Here is a 22,543-nt window from a genome sequence, read left to right on the forward strand (position 1 = left end):
CATTTATAATTTTCATTTCATAGGCCCTGTAACCTTTTTTTTTTTTTGGAGACAGAGTCTCACTGTATCACCCAGGCTGGAGCGCAGTGACACGATCTTGGCTCACTGCCACCTCCACCTCCGCCTCCCGGGGTCAAGCGATTCTCCTGCCTCAGCCCCCGAGTGGTTGGGATTACAGTTACCCCTCACCACGCCTGGCTAATTTTTGTAGTTTTAGTAGAGACAGAGTTTCACCATGTTGGCCATGTGGGTCTTGAACTCTTGACCTCGGGTGATCTGCCCACCTCGGCCTCCCAAAGTGCTGGAATTACAGGTCTGAGCCAGAGCCACAGTGCCCAGCTGGCCCTGTAAACTTTCACAAGTCATTTTAACTCTCTATGCCTCCATTTTTAAATTTGTAAAATGAAAAGGTTATATTAATCCTCTGTGTGATTCCTTCCATCTCTTAAAGAAAAGGTAGTAAGATTCTAGCAAGTTAAAGGCAAGTAGAGTAGAGTAGATACATTCTATTAGCTGTAGTACTATGGGATCTGGGCAAACTGTTTTTATAGGCTTAAATTTTGTGTAAACTTGAGCTCTAACCTCTCAATGTATTACCCACCTTTTTCACACCAGAGACCTTTTATTTCAATTAAGTTAATATTTGCAAAGTACTTTGTTTTATTTATTTATTTTAATTTGTTTTTTTTTGAGAGAGTCTCACTCTGAAGCTCTGGCTGGAGTGCAGTAGCATGATCTTGGCTCACTACCACCTCTGCCTCCCAGGTTCAAGTGATTCTCCTGCCTCAGCCTCCCAGGCGCCCACCCCCATGCCTGGCTAATTTTTATATTTTTAGTAGAGATGTGGTTTCACCATGTTGGCCGGGCTGGTCTTGAACTCCTGACCTCAAGTGATCTGCCTGCCTCAGCCTCCCAAAGTGCTGGTATTACAGGCATGAGCCACGCTCCTGGCCCTTGTTTTAAAGGTATTTTCATGGATGTCCCATTTATTCCTCATTACTATTTTGTGGGATAGTCAAGAGGTTTAGCTTCAATTTTTCAGATAAGGAAACTGAGAAGTTAATTGACTTTCCTAAGGTCACACAGCTAGTAAGTAGCAGAGCCAGAACTGACTGTGCAAGCCCAGTGTTCTTTCCATTATTAACCCCACTTCTCTGTTTACCTTATTATATTTCAAAACTCCTGGTTATTGTAGGTAACAGGAAAATAGTGCTAAAGTATCTCTTTGAGTGGACAATTCCTGTGATCTGCTCAATGGCCACTGACCTGAATTTTTGTTTTGTTTCCTAGAATAGCTTTATCACATGACGTTAGATGAAAGAGCAGGGCATTTATGTAGCTTTCCAGCTCTTGATCTTTTTTAGGTAGAACTCTACCTCCTTGCCCTTTAGCACATATCCACTTGCCATAGTGGCCAGGCCTTAAAGTGATATGTGCAAGAAGCTTGCTTTACTTGCTTTTCAATTTGTCATCTAGGAGTCTCCAAAGAGTAGTTGGTGTTCTTTTAAAAAGAAAAACAATTCCCCATAGTTTATACCAAATAGTTCAATATCTCCATACCCTTAAACACAATGTTATCTATTGTCTGTGATCTATGCCCTTGGTACTACCTTCTTTTTTTTTTTTTTTTTTTTGAGACAGGGTCTCTGTCACCCAGGCTGGGTGCAAGTGGCACCATCTCAGCTCACTGCGACCTCCGCCTCCGGGGTTCAAGCAATTCTCATGGCTGAGTCTCCTGAGTAGCTTGGATTACAGGCATGCGCCACCACCCTTAGCTAATTTTTTGTATTTTTAGTAGAAACGGGGTTTCACCATGTTGGCCAGGCTGGTCTCCAACTCTTGGCCTCAAGTGATCTGCTCACCTTGGCCTTCCAAAGTGCTGGGATTACAGGTGTGAGCCACTGCGCCCTGCTGGTACTACCTTCTTGACCTTCCTCTTTGTCTGTAAAATGATTGCAGTTGGGGCGGGGGAGGGTAAGGGATTAGATCATCTCTAAGGTTATAGTAGATGTTTATTTCTGGAAGCCTGACTTGGTTGAATTTGTAATAGAAAATAAAAGTTTTTGCTGGGCGGGGTGGCTCATGCCTGTAATCCCAGCACTTTGGGAGGCCGAGGCGGGTGGATCACCTGAGGCCAGGAGTTCGAGATCAGTCTGGCCAACATGGTGAAACCCCATCTCTACTAAAAATACAAAAAGTAGCCGGGTGTGGTGGCATGCACCTGTAATCCCAGCTACTCGAGAGGCTAAGGCAGGAGTATTGCTTGAATCCAAGAGGCAGAGGTTGCAGTGAGCCGAGATTGCACCATTGCACTCCAGCCTGGGGCAAAAGAGTGAGACTTCGTCTCAAAAAAAAAAAAAAAAAAAAAGAAAAGAAAAGAAAGTTTTTTAAAAACCCAAACAACTAAGAGGAGATTTTCCATGGAGTATTACGATGAGAAGTCAGAGATATCTAACATCTCAATTTCTCATAGGTACCTGTGAACTCAAATGATACTTGAGTGCCTTTCAGTTTCATTTTGGTTTCAAGGCTAGACTTGGGACTTAATATTTCTCTCTGGATACGTAGTCTTTTTCTCTAGAGGCAAATGTGTATTTTAGTTATGCTTAACAATAAATTCATGCTTGACTTTTCATTTATTCATGCAATAAACATTTAGTGCCCACTATGTAGTAGGCATTGTTTTAGGCTCTGAGAATACAGTAGAGAAGAAAATGCGGGGTTTTTTTCTATGCAGCTGATATTCTGTGGTAATAACATTTATTGAGCAGGTAGTATATGCCAGTTACTGTTCTTAGTGTGTTGCATTTAGAATTTATTTAATTCTGGCAACAATCCTATGACATAGGCACTGCTCTTGTCTTCATTTTACAATCATGAAACTGAGGTTCAGGGAGATTAAGTACTTTGCTTAAGGTTATATAGGTTTGTAAATGGTAGAGGTGGCATTTTAATCCAGGCAGTCTGACTCCCAAGCCCACACTCTTCATCATAGTATTACATAGTCTTTTAGAAAGATATCCATAAAAAATCTATTTCTATCATTAAATTGTCGAGTTTGTAATTTTTGTAGTCACCTGATTTCTGGCCCAATCTTTAGAAAAAAGTCACCCAAAGATACAATAAAGGAGCACTGTGAAAGCCCTTGTGTTCTGTTACAGGAATTGTCAGTCTTAGGAAGCTTTTGGGTAGGACATCTTGAGCCTGATTCTTATGAGTTGAGAGACCAGGCATGGTGACTCACGCCTATTACCCCAGCACTTTGGAGGCTGAGGCAGGAGGATCACTTGAGCCCAGGAGTTCAAACCTGAGCAACATAGTAAGACCCCGTCTCTACACAAAAACAAAAAATTAGCCAGACATGATGACACGTGCCTGTAGTCCCAGCTATTCGGATGGCTGAGGTGGGAGGATCTCTTGAGCCTGGGAAGTCGAGGCTGCAGTGAGTTGTGATTATGCTATTGTACTCCAGCCTGGGTGACAGAGCAAGACCCTGTCTCTAAAAAAAATAAAAGATAGAAAAAGAGATGTAAAAGAGAGAATTTTTTTTGTATTTTTTTACAGCTGTACAATGTGTTTATGTTTTGTTACTTCAAGAGTCAAAAAGTAGGCCAGGCGCGGTGGCTCACGCCTGTAATCCCAGCACTTTCGGAGGCGGAGGCGGGCGGATCACGAGGTCAGGAGATCGAGATCGTCCTGGCTAACATGGTGAAGCCTCGTCTCTACTAAAAATACAAAAAATTAGCCGGGCGTGGTTGCAGGCGCCTGTAGTCCCAGCTTCTCGGGAGGCTGAGGCAGGAGAATGGCCTGAAGCCGGGAGGCGGAGCTTGCAGTGAGCCGAGATCGTGCCACTGCACTCCAGCCTGGGCGACAGAGCGAGCCTCCGTCTCAAAAAAAAAAAAAAAGAGTCAAAAAGTTAATAAAAAAGTAAAAGTTCTGGGGGGCAGCCCCCGCCCGGCCAGCCGCCCCGTCCGGGAGGGAGGTGGGGGGCAGCCCCCGCCCGGCCAGCCGCCCCGTCCGGGAGGTGGGGGGCGCCTCTGCCCGGCCGCCCCGTCTGGGAAGTGAGGAGCCCCTCTGCCCGGCCGCCACCCCATCTGGGAGGTATACCCAACAGCTCATTGTGAACGGGCCATGATGACGATGGCGGTTTTGTCGAATAGAAAAGGGGGAAATGTGGGGAAAAGAGAGAGAAATCAGATTGTTGCTGTGTCTGTGTAGAGGGAAGTAGACGTAGGAGACTCCATTTGGTTCTGAGATTAGGGAGTCATCACCACTCCCTAATCTCAAGTACCCAGGGACACAAACACTGCGGAAGGCCGCAGGGTCTTCTGCCTAGGAAAACCAGAGACCCTTGTTCACTTGTTTATCTGCTGACCTTCCCTCCACTATTGTCCTATGACCCTGCCAAATCCCCCTCTCCGAGAAACACCCAAGAATGATCAATAAATACTAAAAAAAAAAAAAAAAAAAAAAGTAAAAGTTCATAAAATCGCTAAGAAAGTTACAGTAAGATAATGTTAATTTATTACTGAAGAAAGACAAATTTGCTCAGGAGTTCGAGACCAGCCTGGGCAACATAGCAAGACCTTGTCTTTACCAAAAATAAAAAAAAATTAGCTGGGTGCTTTGGTGCACACCTGTAGTCCCACGTATTATTCCAAAGGCTAAGGTGAGAGGATCGCTTGATTCCAGGAAATTGAGACTGCAGTGAGCTATGATCACACTACTGTACTCCAGCCTGGGTGATAGATTCTGTCCCCACCCCCCAAAAAGAAAAAACATTTAAATAAATTTAGTGTAGCTTAAGTATTTATAGTCTACAATAGTGTGCAGTAATGTCCTAGGCCTTCACATTCACTATCACTGATTCAACTGATATATTCCAAGTACCTTCCAGTCCTGCAAGCTCCATTTATGTTAAGTCCCCTCTACAGGTGTACCATTTTTTATCTTCTATGCCTATCCCTACTGTACCTTTTCTTTTCTTTCTTTTTTTTTTGAGACAGAGTCTCGCTCTGTCACCCAGACTGGAGTGCAGTGGCACAATTGATCTCAGCTCACTGCAACCTCCGCCTCCTGGGTTCAAGCGATTCTCCTGCCTCAGCCTCCCCAGTAGCTAGGACTACAGGCACAAGCCACCACACCCAGCTAATTTTTTTATTTTTAGTAGAGATGGGGTTTTACCATGTTGCCCAGGCTGGTCTCAAACTCCTAACCTTAAGTGATCTGCCCACCTCAGCCTCTCAAAGTGCTGGGATTACAGGTGTGAGCCACTGCATCCAGCCTTTTTCTATGTTTAGATTTTTCAGATACACAAATACTTAACATTTTGTTACAGTTGCCTACAGTATTCAGTACAGTAACATGCTGTACAGGTTTTTGCATCCTATCTACCACCTCTATGATCACACAATGACAAAATTGCCTAATGACACATTTCTCAGAATATATTCCTGTTGTTAAGCAACACATGACTGTACTAATATTATCCCCACTCTACATAGGATAGAACTGAGTGTCAGAAGAGCTAGGTAATTTGACCATTGTGATAACACTAGAATTCAACTTCAGTTCTACTGTTGTTCTTAACTACGATATTTCTAGAGAAGGGCTGGGTACGCTAGCTCACGCCTGTAATCCCAGCACTTTGGGAGGCCAAGGCGGGCGGATCATGAGGTCAGGAGATCGAGACCATCCTGACTAACATGGTGAAACCCCGTCTCTACTAAAAATACAAAAAGTTAGCCGGGCATGGTGGCACGCGCCTGTAGTCCCAGCTACTCAGGAGGCTGAGGCAGGAGAATCTCTTGAACCCGGGAGGCGGAGGAGGTTGCAGTGAGCTGAGATCGCGTTACTGCACTCCAGCCTGGCAGAGCGAGACTCCATATCAAAAAAAAAATATATTTCTAGAGAAGTCATTTTTGTGCCTCAGCTTTCTTAACTGTAAAATGAAAATTTTAATACTTTTTCTTCTACTTTGTAAGGTTATTGTGAGTATCAAATGAAATCAGGATGTGAATATGCTTTGTTTACTGTAAGGCATTGCTACCAGCATAATTCACAAAGGATATTTTTTCTTATAATTAACCAAAACATAAACCTCATTGCTCAGAGATTCTGAAGTCCACAAGTGCTCAGAAGGTTGAAATGCTTCTTTGCCATGGCTCTGGCAATACAGTAACAGAATGAAGCTTTTAATACACAAAACAAACTAACCAACAAAACAGATAACTGACTGAGTCTTGGGGAAATTACTGAGAATACCTCTAGTTGAGTGTTGTGTAAATGACTAAATACTTCAAGGCAGGAGCATTTAGGAAGACCAATAAAAACCGGAGTGGGGGTTGTGGGAAGGAAGGGTAGAGATTAAAAGAAAGCTATGAGAAGGTTTAGGAAGAGCTAATGGATTGAGATTCCTTTTTTGCCTTGTCTTCATTGCCCCATGCTCTCTGGTATGCCTTGCTTTTATAAGAAGCTGTGGTTCAAGAGCAGAGGATCTGCTTATAGGTAGTTCATTTATTCATACTTACTTCTTACTCAGTAGACACTGAAACATTTACTCTGTAAGCATAGGGGATATGGAGATGTATAAGGCATGGCTCTAACCTGGTGGTTTTCTTTGTTTTTGTTTGTTATGGAGTCTCACTCTGTTGCCCAGGCTGGAGTGCAGTGGCGCGATCTTGGCTCACTGCAACCTCTGCCTCCCGGTTCAAGCAATTCTCCTGCCTCAGCCTCCCGAGCAGCTGAGATTACAGGCATCCACCACCATGCCCAGCTAATTTTTGTATTTTTAGTAGAGATGGGGTTTCACCATGTTGGCCAGGCTGGTCTTGAACTCCCGACCTCAAGCAATCCACCCATCTCAGCCTCCCAAAGTGATGGGATTACAGGTGTGAGCCACTGCATCCAGCTGTTTTTTTTGTTTTGTTTTGTTTTGACGGAATTTTACTCTTGTTGCCCAGGCTGGAGTGCAATGGTGCAAACAAGGGGAGAATCGCTTGAATATTTAACTTTTTTTTTTTTTTGAGACGGAGTCTCACTCTGTCGCCTAGGCTGGAGTGCAGTGGCACTCGATCTCGGCTCACTGCAACCTCCACCTCCTGGGTTCAAGCAATTCTCCTGCCTCAGCCTCCTGAGTAGCAACTACAGGCGCGTGCCACCACGCCCAGCTAATTTTTTGTATTTTTTTTAGTAGAGACGGGGTTTCACTGTGTTAGCCAGGATGGTCTCGACCTCGTGATCCACCCGCCTTGGCCCCCCAAAACGTTGGGATTACAGGTGTGAGCCACCGCACCTGGCGAATATTTAACTCTTTAAGTTATGACCTGTGTGGTCTAGTCTTAGTGCAGTGTCATAATCCATGGAACACAATCCTGCAAACAAAAAGTCATTTTGAAATAACTCAGTCTTTATTTGCATTTCTTGAAACATCATGAAGTAGAATAGAGTTCACAGATAAACCAAGCAGAATTATTAACCCTTTCTGTATCCCCCAAACCCAGCATAGTCCCTGATATTTACCTATTAGAAGAACAAAAAGGAGAATGAGTTCAAATTAGGAGAGTGATAAAGGGACTTCCCTAGTTTCTGAAAAATTGTGCCAATTTACACTCCAACCAGCAGTATTTGAGAGGACCAATCTGGGCAAACTTTACTTGAAAAATTCACATTTATCAGGTTTATATCATGTCCCAAAAAAACACTATATTAACCAAAAAAATAAAGATCGGCCACTGTTTTTTTTTTTTTTTTTTTTTTTTTTTGCGGCTGGAATTGTTTTTCCTATTTGCTATAGAATATATTTTCAGCCATTGCTCAGGGGCTGTGTCACTCTGCTTGCTGTACTTGAGGTAATTACAGGGCTTCATTATCTCTTCTGACCATAATTAACAGATCTGGGTTAAATCTGGGATTTATTTTTGGAGTTTTTTTTTTTTTTTGGCGGGTAAGGTCTTTACTCCCCCCTCCATCCTTTCCCTCCATCTGAGAGGCCTTATGGGTAAGACAAAGGGCATGATATTTGGCATTGAAGATTGGTTCAAGGTCCAGTTCTGCCACATTCTAAATATATGAACTTGGGTACATTATTATTTCTGAGTTCCAGCATCCTCATATACAAAATGGTATCTAGTATAGAAGTTCTACAAGAAAGTTGTGAGGGGTAAATGATACAATGTGTGTAAGAAATGTGTTGTATGAATGTTGATCAGTCTTTGAAAGAACACTTGCCTGTCTACTAGGGTGCCAGATGTTATACTAGGTTCTAGGTATTAAGAAAAAGTCAGCACTGATTTCCTGTTTGATTCTTTACTACATTTCATCAGTTCTTTTCTGCAAAATATTTTTCACTTTTGATTTTTTTTTTTTTGCATTTTCATTGCCTGTACTCTAATCCATAGCATCATCACCTCCTGTCTGGGCCACTGTTAACTAGTTAGTCCCAAGTTGTATTTTGGCATTTATTTCAAAGCCAGACTAATAATTATTCTGTTTGAGAGATGATATGGTGTAGCAGAAAAAGTATGGACTTCATTATTAACAGACCTGGGTTTGTATCTTGGCCCCACTTTCTACAGTATGTGACACTGGGAAAGTTCCTTTACCACTCTCTTAATTTGAACTCACTCTTTTTTTTTTCTCTCTCTCGTAACAGGTAAAAATCAGGGACTGCATGTGGTTCTAGGGATAAAGGAAGGGTTAACAAGTTCCTTCTACTTGAAGAGTTCATGGCTGAGTGGGGTAAACAGATACAGTCATAGATAACCATGGTGTAACATGGAATTGTAAAAGAAAACTAGCTTGGGAATCAGATATAAAGGGCAGTGTATGTAGTGGTAAAAGCACAGATTTAACTCTAGAGTCAGATTGCTTGGGGTCTAATCCTGACTCTACCATTTATTAGCTCTGTAATCTTGAGCAAATTACTTAAACTCTGATAGCCTCAATGTCCTTATCTGTAGAATAGGGATACTGATGGAATTTAATTTATAGAATTCTTATGAGAAATAAATGAAATTATATATGTAAAGCACTTAGCATAGTTAGTAGCATATAGCACATAGCATATATTAGCATATAAGTGCTCTACAATTATAATTATGATATTAGTAGAGTAGTTAAGAACTTAAAAATATAAACTTTGGCCTCATTCTTGTGTTGAAGTCTGGGTTTAGCAATATATTGGCCATGTGAATATGGGGAAGAGATTTAACCTAAGCCTTATTTTCCTCATCTTTAAAATGCAATAATGTAATTGTGCTTGGCTCAGGATGTAGAAATGGAAAGAGATCTGCACCAGGACCTGATACAGAATAAATGCCTTGTAAAAGATAGCTGTTGTGATTTTTATTCTTGCTCTGCCATCTGCTGGCTGTTTTATCTCTGATATGTAAATTAATCTTTCTGAGCCTCAGTTTACTTTTGTTCAAAACAAAGTTGTTTATTGAAGATTGAAAATATTTATGAAGTACATAGGTGGCTGGCACCACACAGTTGTCATTCAGTACACAGTAGCTGTTGTTAATGGTACAATTTAATTTTTCAGGTGCTGAGAATAAAATTAATTCTGCCTTAGAAATTAGGAAAGACATCACAGAAGTAGTGAGCTTTGAATTTTGAAAGATGAGGCTGGCTGGGCATGGTGGCACATGCCTGTAATCCCAGCACTTTGGGAGTCCGAGGCGGGCAGATCACCTGAGTTCAGGAATTCGAGAGTAGCCTGGCCAACATGGTGAAACCCTGTCTCCACTGAAAATCTAAAAATTAGCTGGGCGTGGTGCACGCGCCTGTAATCCCAGCTACTTGGGAGTCTGAGGCAGGAGAATCACTTGAACTGGGAGGTGGAGGTTGCAGTGGGCACAAGAATCACTTGAATGGGGAGGTGGAGGTTGTGGTGAGCCAAGATCACACCACTGCACTCCAGCCTGGGCAACAGAGTGAGCTTCCATCTCAAAAAAAAAAAAAAAATGGCCGGGCGTGGTTGCTCACGCCTGTAATCCCAGCACTTTGGGAGGCTAAGGCAGGCAGATTGCCTGAGGTCAGGAGTTCAAGACCAGTCTGGCTAACATGATGAAACCCCGTTTCTACTAAAAATACAAAAAAATTAGTTAAGTGTGGTGCCGCGTGCCTGTAATCCCAGGTACTTGGGAGACTGAGGCAGGAGAATCGCTTGAACCCGGGAGGTGGAGGTTGCAGTGAGCCGAGATCGTGCCATTGCATTCCAGCTTGGACAACAAGTGCCAAACTATCTCCAAAAAAATAAACAAAATACCTAAATAAAAAAAGAAAGATGAGTGAGATTTTTGCTATAAAAGGACTAACAAAAGCTCTGAGATGTGAAAATATCTGTTACAGTACTTAAGGAATAGTAAGTGCTAGGTTGCTTAAACATGCAGTTTAGTGTATCTGGCAGGTAGCTTATTTGGGGCAGGGAGAAGGGAACAGTGAGAAAGGCTAGAGAGGAAGATTGGAACTAGCTAGGAAAATGTTTCGAATACCTTGCTAAAGTGTTTATACTTTATAGGTCTCTCTTTTTCCAACTTTTACTTGTAACAACTGAAGAAACTAAACTTGCTGGGGAATAGAGGAGGGAATTACTTGAAGCCAGTGTTCAAACAGGAATTTCTTGGTGATCTTGTGGGGTTTATTTTTTTTTATTTTTTATTTTTTTGAGATGGAGTTTTGCTCTCGTCGCCCAGGCTGGAGTGCAATGGTGCGATCTTGGCTCACCGCAACCTCCGCCTCCCGGGTTGCCACCACGCTTGGCTAATTTTTGTATTTTTATTAGAGACAGGGTTTTGCCATGTTGGCCAGGCTTGTCTTGAACTCCTGACCTCAGGTGATCCGCCTGCCTCAGCCTCCCAAACTGCTGGGATTACAGGCATGAGCCACCGTGCCCATCCTTATCAATTTTCAAAATACAGAGTTGATATTTCCCTGGTGTCCTTCAAAGATAACTAGTTGGTTTTTATTTTGTATCATTATGAACTCATGAATTGAACATATTTGAGGTGCAATTCCCTGTAGTTTTCAGCTGTTTTCCTGATCTTTGAAATGTGGAGTTTGGATAAGATGACCTCTAACCATCATTAGCATTTTGATGTATTTATTTCTAGTCTTGTGTTTACACTTGTTTAAACTATTTATTTTATTTTAATTTAGTTTTGAGACGGAGTCTTGCTCTGTCACCCAGGCAGTAGAGCAGTGGCACAATGTTGGCTCACTGCAACCTCCGCCTCCGGGGTTCAGGCGATTCTCCTGCCTCAGCCTCCCAAAATGCTGGGCTTGCAAGTGTGAGCCACTCTGCCTGGCCCCCAGCAACTATTTTTTTTTTTTTTTTGAGACGGAGTTTCACTCTTGTTACCCAGGCTAGAGTGCAGTGGCGCAATCTCGGCTCACTGCAACCTCCACCTCCCAGGTTCAAGTGATTCTCCTGCCTCAGCCTGCTGAATAGCTGGGATTACAGGCATGGGCCACCATGCCTGGCTAATTTTTGTATTTTTAGTAGAGACAGAGTTTCACTGTGTTGGTCAGGTTGATCTTGAACTCCTGACCTCAGGTGATCTGCCTGCCTTGGCCTCTCAAAGTGCTGAGATTACAGGTGTGAGCCATCGTGCCTGACTCTGGCAACTATTTTTAATAGCAGCTTTATTGAGATATAATTCACATACCATGCATTTCACCTATTAAAGTGTACCCAGTTCAGTGGTTTTTAGTATATGCAGAGTGGTGCAACTATAGCCACAATCAATTTTAGAACATTTTCATCACTCCAAAAAGAAGCCCTGTGCCCACTAGCATTCACTTTCCATTTTCTTCTAACCCACCTTCCCTCTAACCCTAAGCAACCAATAATCTCCTTTCTGTCTCTGTACATTTACCTCTTCTGAACAGTTCATACAAATGGGATCATACAATACGTGGTTTTTTTGTGACTGGCTTCTTCCACTTAGCATGTTTTCAAGGCTCATTCATGTTGTACAGTACATCAGCATTCCTGTTTTGCTAAGTAGTATTCCATTGTGGGGCTGTACTATATTTTGTTTATCCAGTCATCTGGTTTTTGTTGTTTCTGAAATAGAGTCTTGCTCTGTCACCCAGGCTGGAATGCAGTGGTGCCATCACGACTCACTGTAACCTCCCACTTCAGCTCCTGAGTAACTAAGACTACAGATACCTGCTACCACACCCAGCAAATTTTTGTGTTTTTTGTAGAGATGGGGTTTCACCATGTTGCCCAGGCTGGTCTCGAACTTCTGGGCCCAAGTGATCCTCCCAAAGTACTGGGATTACAATTGTGAGCCATCACGCCCACCCCATCCCACCCTACCCATTTATCAGTTTTGATGGATATATTTGGGTTGTTTCTACTATGATATAGTTAAAAAAAAAAAAAAATAGCCAGCGCGGTGGCTCACACCTGTAATCCCAGCACTTTGGGAGGCCGAGGCGGGCAGATCACTTGAGGTCAGGAATTTGAGACCAGCCTGGCCAACATGGTGAAACCCCGTCTCTACCAAAAATACAAAAATTAGCTGGGCGTGGTGGCATGTGCCTGTAGTCCCAGCTATTCTGGAGACTGAGGCAGGAGAATCACTGGAACCTGACGTGAGGCAGAGGTTGCAGTGAGCCAAGATTACACCACTGCACTCCAGCCTGAGTGACAGAGCAAGACTCCGTCTCAAAAACACACAAAAAACCCCCCAAAATTTGATCTTCATACCCTGTTTCTTGCACGTTAGCTCCCAAACCCCTTGGAAGCTCTGAAGTGAAAAGAGTTTTTGTATGCTAATGAGTTGACTGGTGTCCAGGAGCCCCTAGATAACTTCTTTCTGGGCTGGTTGCCAGAAGGACCAAGGCATGTGATAGGAAAAACAACATTTTTTCCTTCTTTATACTCCTTTATATTCACACCACTCTCAATATTTTTGATACCAAACCATATAGTAGGAGAAAACAAACTGTTTTCTCCTACTGTACTCTCAACACAGAACACTTCTGTGACCAGATGTGTGGTTTTTTTTTTTCCCTATACGGAGCAATTCTCCTATTCTCAGCAGACATCAATTGGGTGCCCTAAAATTTACCTCAGTTCTGACAGTAACCAGCATTAACATAGACCTCACAGGTGAGGGGCTCACTTCCACAAGATGGCCTCCCTCAGATGCCAATTCAGGTAGTAGGTCTCTGGATTAACCACAACACCTGTCAGTCTTGGCTACAAATTGGAGGTTCCCACACCTCCCTCCCTGGGTTTGATAATTTGCCAGAGTGCTCACAGAACCCATGAAAATTTTACTTACTTTAATACAAAGGATATTTTAAAGGATACAAATGAACAGCCAGATGGAAGAGATACATAGGGCAACCTATGGGGGAAGGAGCTTGAAGCTTCCATGCCTCCTCCAGCACACCCTACCCCACCCCTAGCACTTCAATGTGTGCAGCAGCCTGGATACTTTCCAAACCCCATTTTTGGGTGATTTTGTGGATGCATTATTACATATGCATGATTGATTAAATCATTGGCCATTGGTTATTAACAACTTTGAGTCCCTCTCCCCTCCCTGGAAGTTAATGGCAAGTGAAGTGCCTTCCTGAATTCTGTGAGTCATATTAGCAGATTATCAAACATGAGGCCCTCCTCAGGGGATCTTGGAATCCCACAGTTTATAGTTCATTGGTCAGAAGTACAAGTGGAAATCTGGGACTTGTGACTGGCACCTGCAGTGGGGACAGTGGCCTAAACTGTAGTGCTATGCTAATTCTGGGTAGTTAGTGTCAGAATTCGAATTGAATTGTAGGATACCCAGTTGGTGTCAGAACTGGTTGTTGGCGTGGGAAAAGCCCAGAAATTTGGTGTCAGTAGTGTTGTGAGTAAAAACAATTCGGACCATTTTTTTTTTCTTGGGGTGGGGTACAGAGTCTCGCTATGTCGCCCAGGCTGGAGTGCAGCAGCATGATCTCAGCTCACTGCAACCTCTGCCTCCTGTGTTCAAGTGATTCTCCTGCTTCAGCCTCCTGAATAGCTGGGATTACAGAAGTGCACCACCACACCCAGCTAATTTTTGTATTTTTAGGAGAGACGGGGTTTCACCAAGTTGGTTAGGCTGGTCTTGAACACCTGACCTCATGATCCACCCACCTCGGCCTCCCAAACTTCTAGGATTACAGGTGTGAGCTGCCGTGCCTGACCTCAGACCACTTTTTAACTATTATGAACAATGCTTCTGTAAACATTCACATACAAGATTTTGTGTGGACATGTTTTTATTTCTGGGTATATACTTAGGAGTAGAATTGCTGGATCGTATTGGTAACTGTTTAATTTTGTAATAAACTGCTAAGCTGTTTTCCAAGGCAGCTGCAACATTTTTATTTCCACCAGTAATGTATGAGGTTTCCAATTTTTTCTCCCATCAGCAATTATTGTCCATGGTTGTTCTTCTTCTTCTGGTTGTTGTTGTTGTTGTTCTTTTTTTTTTTTTTTGACAGAGTCTCGCTCTGTCACCCAGGCTGGCGTGCAATGGCGTGATCTTGGCTTATTGCAATCTCCACCTCCCAGGTTCAAGCAATTCTCCTGCCTCAGCCTTACCCTAGTAGCTGAGATTACAGGCATCTGCCAACATGCCTGGCTAATTTTTTGTGTTTTTTTGTTTTTTTTGAGACAGAGTTTCGCTCTTGTTGCCCAGGCCGGAGTGCAATGGTGTGATCTCGGCTCATCGCAACCTCTGCCTCCCGGGTGCAAGCGATTCTCCTGCCTCAGCCTCCCAAGTAGCTGGGATTACAGGCATGCACCACCACGCCCAGCTAATTTTGTATTTTTAGTAGAGATGGAGTTTCTCCATGTTGGTCAGGCTGGTCTTGAACTCCCGACCGCAGGTGATCCACCCGCCTCGGCCTCCCAAAATGCTGGGATTACAGGCGTAAGCCACTGTGCCTGGTCACTTTTTGTATTTTTACTAGAGACAGGGTTTTACCATGTTGGCCAGGCTGGTCTCGAACTCCTGACCTTAGGTGATCTGTCTGCCTCGGCCTCCCAAGTATTACAGGTGTGAGCCACTGTGCCTGGCCCCCTTTGCCTTTTTTTTTTTGAGATGGAGTCTGGCTCTATTGCCCAGGCTTGAGTGCAGTGGCACCATCCTGCCTCACTGCAACCTCTGCCTCCTGGGTTCAAGCGATTCTCCTGCCTCAGCCTCCCAAGTAGCTGGGACTACAGACACCTACAACCACACCAGCTAATTTTTGTATTTTTAGTAGAGACGAGGCTTCACCATGTTGGCCAGGCTGGTCTTGAACTCCTGACCTCAGGTGATCCGCCCACCTTGGCCTCCCAAAGTGTTGGGAGGCCACTGCACCCGGCCTACCTTTGACTATTTCTCGGCCTTTTGGCTAAGATCAAGTGTAGTATCTGTTCTTATCAGTTTATTTTACATTTATTTATTTTTTGAGATGGAGTTTCCCTCTTGTCGCCCAGGCTGGAGTGCAATGGCGCAATCTCAGCTGACTGCAACCTCCGCCTCCCGGGTTCAAGCAATTCTCCTGCCTCAGCCTCCCAAGTAGCTGGGGTTACAGGCATGCGCCACCACACCTGGGTAATTTTTGTATTTTTTGTAGAGATGGGGTTTCACCATGTTCCTCAGACTGGTCTCAAACTGCTGGGCTCAGGCAATATTCCTGCCTCAGCCTTTCAGAGTTCTGGCATTACAGGCATTAGCCACCGTGCCCTTTTCACTTTCTTTATGGTGATCTTTGAAGCACAAAAGTTTTTAATTTTTTTGAAGTTTAATAGATATACATTGGTGTCATATCTAAGAAACTTTACTGATCTAAAGCCCGGACTTTTTACACCTATGTTTTCTTCTAAGAGAAACAATCTTAGCTCTACTATTTAGGACCTTGATCTATTTTGTGGTAATTTTTCTATATGATGTGAGATAGGACTTTGTCTTTATTCTTTTGTATGTTGATGTCCAGTGGTCCCAGCATCATTTGTTGAAAAGCCTATTCTTTTTTTTTTTTTTTTTGAGACGGAGTCTTGCTCTGTCGCCCAGGCTGTGGAGTGCAGTGACATGATCTCAGCTCACTGCAAGCTCCGCCTCCTGTGTTCACGCCATTCTCCTGCCTCAGCCACCGGAGTAGCTGGGACTACAGGCGCCCGCCACCATGCCTGGCTAATTTTTTTGTATTTTTAGTAGAGATGGGATTTGACCGTGTTAGCCAGGATGGTCTCGATCTCCTGACCTCATGATCCGCCCACCTCGGCCTCCCAAAGTGCTGGGATTACAGGCGGGAGCCACTGCACCCGGCCAAAAAGCAAGCCCGTTGAATTATCCTGGCATTCTTGTCAATATCAATTGACCACGAATGTAAGAGTTTATTGCTGAACTCTGAATTCTAGTTCATTGATCTATGTGTCTATCCTTATGCTGGTGCCATACAGTTTTGATTACTTTAGTAATCAAAGTCTTTCAACTTTGTTTTTCTTTTCCAAGATCGTTTTGGCTATTCTAGGTGTTGCATTTCCATATGAATCTTAGGATAAGCTTGTCTTTTTTGTTTGTTTTATGAGACGGAGTTTCGCTCTTGTTGCCCAGGCTAGAGTGCAATGGCATAATCTCAGCTCACTGCAACCTCTGCCTCCCAGGTTCAAGCAGTTCTCCTGCCTCAGCCTCCCAAGTAGCTGGGATTACAGGCATGTGCCGCCACACCTGGCTAATTTTGTATTAGTGTTTAGTGGAGACAGGGTTTCTCCATGTTGGTCAGGCTGGTCTCGAACTCCCGACCTCAGGTGATCCACCTGCCTCGGCCTCCCAAAGTGCTGGGATTACAGGCGTGAGCCACCACACCCGGCTTTGTTTGTTTTTTGAGACAGAGCCTCACTCTATCACCCAGGCTGGAGTTCAGTGGCATAATCTCGGCTCACTACAACTTCCGCCTCTTGGATTCAAGTGATTCTCCTGCCTCAGCCTCCTGAGTAGCTGGAACTACAGGCGTCCACCACCATGCCTAGCTAATTTTTGTATTTTTAGTGGAGATGGGGTTTTGCCATGTTGGCCAGGCTGGTCTCGAACTCCTGGCCTCAAGTGATCCTCCCACCTCGGCCCTACCCTATTTTTAAAAAATAGCTCTCTCAGCTTCATACTCATGTCTGAACAGCATATTGTGATGCTTTAGTTGGTTACAAGCTTCCTAAGCTCTGAGGTCTTCCGCTCACCATCCCTGACTGATTAGAACCCCCTGCTGTGTGCTTACTTAATACCCAGTGTGTCCTCTATTTTAATACTAAAGGGGCTGTATGTAAATGTTTGTTTCAGTGTTTCACTTCTATTGCTTCTTGAGAACATAGATCACAGATTGTATTCCACTGCCTTACACAGTGTCTAGCATATGATAGACACTAAAGAAATACTTGTGAAATGAGTAAATGAATGTTTTGTTCTCTGCTTTTCTGGAAACTAACTAGTTGGTTTTTGTGTTTCTTTTATATTTTTCCCTGGGCTCCAAGGAGGAGGCGTCTCCCTATTCCTTACTTGATATCTGCTTGAATTTCTTGACTACTCACCTTGAGAAGTTCTGTTCAGCCAGACAAGATGGAACATTGTGTCTGCAGGAACCTGGAGTATTCCCACAGGAGGTGGCTGATCGACTGCTTCGGACCATGGCTTTTCATGGTAAAAAAATAAACAGAGGAAACAAAAATTATGTGCTGTTAATTAGATTTGATTTTGAAGTGCTACAGTAGCCATTTAATTATTTTCTTAGAAATAACTGAGAAGGCCAAATGAGCCTGATTCCAGGACTATGAATTCATTTATTTTTACCTATCTTGCCTCTTACTGTGTAATTTATAATAAACATTTTTCTTTTTTTTTTTTTTTTTTCCTTGACAGGGTCTCACTCTGTTACCCAGGCTGGAGTGCAGTGGTGCAAACACGGCTCACTGCAGTCTCAACCTCCTGGGCTCAGGTGATCCTCCCAGCTCAGCCTCCTGTGTAGCTGGGACCACAGGCTTGTGCCACCACATCTGGCTAATTTCAACATTTTTCATTTCTAATGGGGCAAACGTTTTTTGACTTTGAGAAGTCTTTTTTTTTTTTTAAATTTTTTAAGAAACAGGGCCTTGTTCTGTTGCCCAGGCTGGAGTACAGTAGCACAAAACTCCTGGGCTCATGTGATCCTCCTGGTTCAGCTTCCTGAGTAGCTGGGACTATAGCTTGGCTAATTTTTTTATTTTTATTTTTGTAGAGATAAGGTCTCACTCTGTTGCCAAGGCTGGCCTCAAACTCCTTTCCTCAAGCAATCTTCCAACCTTGGCCTCCCAAAGCACTGGGATCATAGGCATGAGCCACCATGCCCAGGTGAGAAGTCATTCTTATGTCAGAAATAACTCCTATAACTTGTATCCATTTGGAGGTTTGCCAGTATAAAATACCTTACATCGGGCCGGGCGTGGTGGCTCATGCCTGTAATCCCAGCACTTTGGGAGGCCGAGGCAGGTGAATCACCTGAGGTCAGGAGTTCGAGACCAGCCTGGCCAAGATGGCGAAACCCCATCTTTACTAAAATACAAAAATTAGCTGAGTGTGGCAATACGTGCCTATAATCTCAGCTACTCGGGAGGGTGAGACAGGAGAATCGCTTGAACCCAGGAGACAGAGGTTGCAGTGAGCCGAGGTTGTACCACTGCACTCCAGCCTGGGCGACAGAGCAAGACTCTGTCTCAAAACAAACAAACTAACAATAACAAAAAGCCTTATGTCTTCATTTGACAGTAGGAGGATTATTACTGTTATGGAAAAACTAATTTCTGATTTTGACCTTTGAGATGGGAAATCACAGCCAATTTAGTACTTTGGTTTTCAAAAACCAGTGCTGAAAATCAACTGGGAAGCTCTTATCTGTGTAGTTTTGCTTATGTATGGAGTATTTTTGTTACTTCAAGTTTTAATTTGAAAGAGATATATCTTGGCCGGGCGCAGTGGCTCACACCTGTAATCCTAGCACTTTGGGAGGTCAAGGTGGGCGGATCACGAGGTCAGGAGTTCGAGACCAGCCTGACCCACGTGGTGAAACCCCGTCTTTACTAAAAATACAAAAATTAGCCGGGCGTGGTGGCGCACACCTGTAGTCCCAGCTGCTCAGAGGGTGAGGCAGGAGAATCGCTTGAATCCAGGAGGCGGAGGTTGCAGTGAGTCGAGATTGTGCCACTGCACACCTGGCTGGGCGACAGAGCAAGACTCTGTCTCAAAAAAAAAAAAAAAAAAAAGATACACCTTTATATCTTTACAGTTGATAAACTCATAAGTATGGAATATGATTTGTCCACAGCTATAGAATAGAATGTAAATTTGCCAATAATAATAGCTGTCATTTATTGAATGCCTATGTGCCAGGGATTTTACATGTATTTTCGTGGAATTTTCGCAAAAACTCTATAAGGTAGCTCTATTATCATTCCCGTTAACATATAGATAAACTGAGGTTCAGAGAAGTAACGTCCTGAGGGTCATACTGCAAGTAAATAGTGGAGTCCTAATTCATGTGCAAGTCTGTCCAATTTTAAATATATGCTCGTTCCACTGTGCCACACAGCCTTCCTACACCTATATTAAAGGTATCCCTGCTCCTGGATGCCACATACTGGTTTATACTTTTGCTGTGGCTTTATATATATAAAACTATTAAGTATAAGTGCCAATAATGTGTTCCAAGAAAGAGTAGGATGAAATGAGGCTGTAACTGAGGCATTTTGGAATAATTTAGGAAAGAAGAAGACCTCTACATTGCTTGTTTTTCACAAAGTTTCTCATGCCAGCAGTCTCTTTGAATTTTTCCAACCTGTCATAGGAACTAGGGTAAATTTCTGTATTATATATGTTAAAGTTAAAAGTCCCTTACACAGCTGCACAACGATTTAAGAGATTATGCCAGTGCTAGCATTTCTTTCTAATCCCAATTTAATGATTATGCTCAGTATATTATTATTATTATTATTTTGAGATGGAGTCTTGCTGTGTTGCCCAGGCTGCAGTGCAGTGGTGCAATCTCAGCTCACTGCAGCCTCCACCTCCTGGGTTCAAGTGATTCTCCTGCCTCAGCCTCCTGAGTAGCTGGGACTACAGGTGCCCACCAACACGCCCAGCTAATTTTTGTATTTTTAGTAGAGACGGGGTTTCACCATGTTGGCCAGGTTGATCTTGAACTCCTGACCTCAAGTGATCCACCTGCCTCGGCCTCCCAAAGTGCTGGGATTACAGGCATGAGCCACTGCACCCAGCCAGTGCTCAGTATATTAGATTAAAAAAAGAAAACTCATCTTGTAAATCAAAAGAACAAATGCTAAGGCCTTAACTTTGCCAGATTGGGTTATCCTTTGGAAATGTAACTACTGCTAGCTAATAGTAGTAGTTAACATTTATTAAATGCTTATTATTATGTCAGGCACTATAGCGAATGCTTTATATGGATAAGATAATAGGAGTGGGTTTTAAGCAAGTCTAACTAAATATTTGTCCTCAGAGTAATGTCTTTGAGAAGCTACATGCTTGAAATGTATTTTCTACCTCTTCTTTTCAGACTGCCTTCAGATGAGGAAACTGAGGGTCAGAAAAATAACTTGTTGTCCCTAATTGTGTTACCCTAGTGTGATTACCTGTCTTCTTCATCAAGAAGGGTTCTGAATTATTTAATCTCTTTATACAAATCATTTCCATCTTTAAACAGTCAAGATTTGATACTACTGAGAATATGCAAAGAAACATGTTGCCAGTTCTTGTCTCAATTTGTAAAAGTTGCTTTATACATTTTTCTTCGTGTTTGAAAATATTCATACTGGGAAAAAAGTTATTCAGTTGATACTTTTATTTTTTATTTATTGCTGTTACTATTTTTTCCTTGAGACAGAGTCTTGCACTGTCACCCAGGCTGGAGTGCAGTGGCGCGATCTCGGCTCACTACAACCTCTGCTTCCCAGGTTTAAGCAATTCTTGTGCCTCAGCCTCCGGAGTAGCTGGGGTTACAGGCATGTGCCACCACACTTGGATAATTTTTGTATTTTTTTTAGTACAGATGGGATTTCACTATGTTGGCCAGGCTGGTCCTAAACTCCTGACCTCAAGTGATCTACCGCCTAGGCCTTCGAAAGTGCTGGGATTACAGGCGTGAGCCAGTGCTCCCGCCTTGTGAATACTTTTAAAATTGGTAATATCAGCCAAGGGCAGTGATTCACGCCTGTAATCCAAGTACTTTGGGAGGCCAAGGCAGGCGATCCGCCTGAGGTCAGGAGTTTGAGATCAGCCTGGCCAACATGGCAAAACCCTGTCTTTACTAAAAGTAACAAAAATTAGCCCGGCGTGGTGGCGGGCGCCTGTAATCCCAGCTACTGAGGAGGCTGAGGCAGAGAGAATTGCTTGAACACGGAGGTGGAGGTTGCAGTGAGCCAAGATTGCACCATTGTACTCCAGCCTGGGCGACAAGAATGAGACTCTTAACGACAACAACAACAACAACAACAAAAACAAAAAACTGGTAATATCATACTGTTTCTAATAGCATATTGATTTTAGAAAATGTTTAACATATACATTTAAAATTTTTTTACTTATTTACTCAATTCAAAGGATCAATGATATTGGTAGCAGTCTTTTTTGTGTGTTAAAAAATTTTCTTTTTCTTCTTTTATTTTTTGTAGAGACAGGGTCTTGCCATGTTCCCCAGGCTGGTCTCGAACTCCTGGCCTCAAGTTAGCCTCCTGCCTCAGGCTTCCAAAGTATTGAGATTACAGGCATGAGCCAACATGCCTGGCCTACTTTTTTTTTTTTTTTTTTTTGAGATGGAATCTCACTCTGTCGCTCAGGCTGGAGTGCAGTGGTGCAGTCTCAGCTCACTGCAGTCTCTGCCTCCTGGGTTCATTTGATCCTCCTGGCTTAGCCTCCCAAGTAGCTGGGACTACAGGTGCCTGACACTATGCACAGCTAATTTTTGTATTTTTAGTAGAGACAGGGTTTCACCATGTTGGCCAGGCTGGTCTCGAACTCCTGACATCAAATGATGCACCTGCCTTGGTCTCCCAAAGTGCTGGGATTACAGGTGTGAACCACTGTGCCTGGTGCTGGCGTATTTTTAAATTGACATATAATAATTGTACATATCTATGGGGTATGTCATGATGCTTCAGTACATATACTGTATAGTGATAAGATTGGAGTAATTAGCATATTCATCATCTCAAATATTTGTTTTGGAAATATTCACTATCATCCTTGTAGCTATTTGAAACTATGAATTATTGTTAACTGTAGTCATCATACAGTGTGTAGGACACTAGAACTGACTCCTCCTGTCTAGCTTAATTACGTATCCTTTAATCAATCTCTGCCTATCCTCCTCTTCTCTCTACAAGTCTCCAGCCTCTGCTAACCTGTTCTACTTTTACTTCTATGAGATCAGTTTTTTAGCTTTCACATATGAGTGAGAACATGCTGTGTTTAACTTTCTGCTCCTGGCTTATTTCACTTAACATAATGTCCTCCAGTTTCATTCA

General features: G+C 43.1%; 1 protein-coding gene and 1 pseudogene across 3 annotated transcripts in view; both read left to right on the plus strand.

Moving 5' to 3' along the window:
• The window catches only part of ZYG11B (zyg-11 family member B, cell cycle regulator), a 100,884-nt gene that overhangs the window by 12,499 nt on the left and 65,842 nt on the right, over positions 1–22,543 (plus strand). For 2 of the 3 annotated variants that reach the window (NR_199864.1, NM_024646.3), the window contains exon 2: positions 17,507–17,672. Coding sequence is in view for 2 of the 3 variants with exons in the window: in NM_024646.3 (NP_078922.1) it covers positions 17,507–17,672 (166 nt within the window). In the remaining variant the exon portion in view is untranslated. Of the gene's footprint in view, positions 1–15,475; positions 15,594–17,506; positions 17,673–22,543 lie in introns of all 3 variants that reach the window. The other variant, NM_001441954.1, reaches the window with a different exon arrangement.
• RNU2-30P (RNA, U2 small nuclear 30, pseudogene) lies at positions 15,371–15,511 on the plus strand (annotated as a pseudogene).

The sequence above is a fragment of the Homo sapiens genome, chromosome 1 (genome assembly GCF_000001405.40).
Source record: "Homo sapiens chromosome 1, GRCh38.p14 Primary Assembly".
Lineage (NCBI taxonomy): Eukaryota > Metazoa > Chordata > Mammalia > Primates > Hominidae > Homo > Homo sapiens.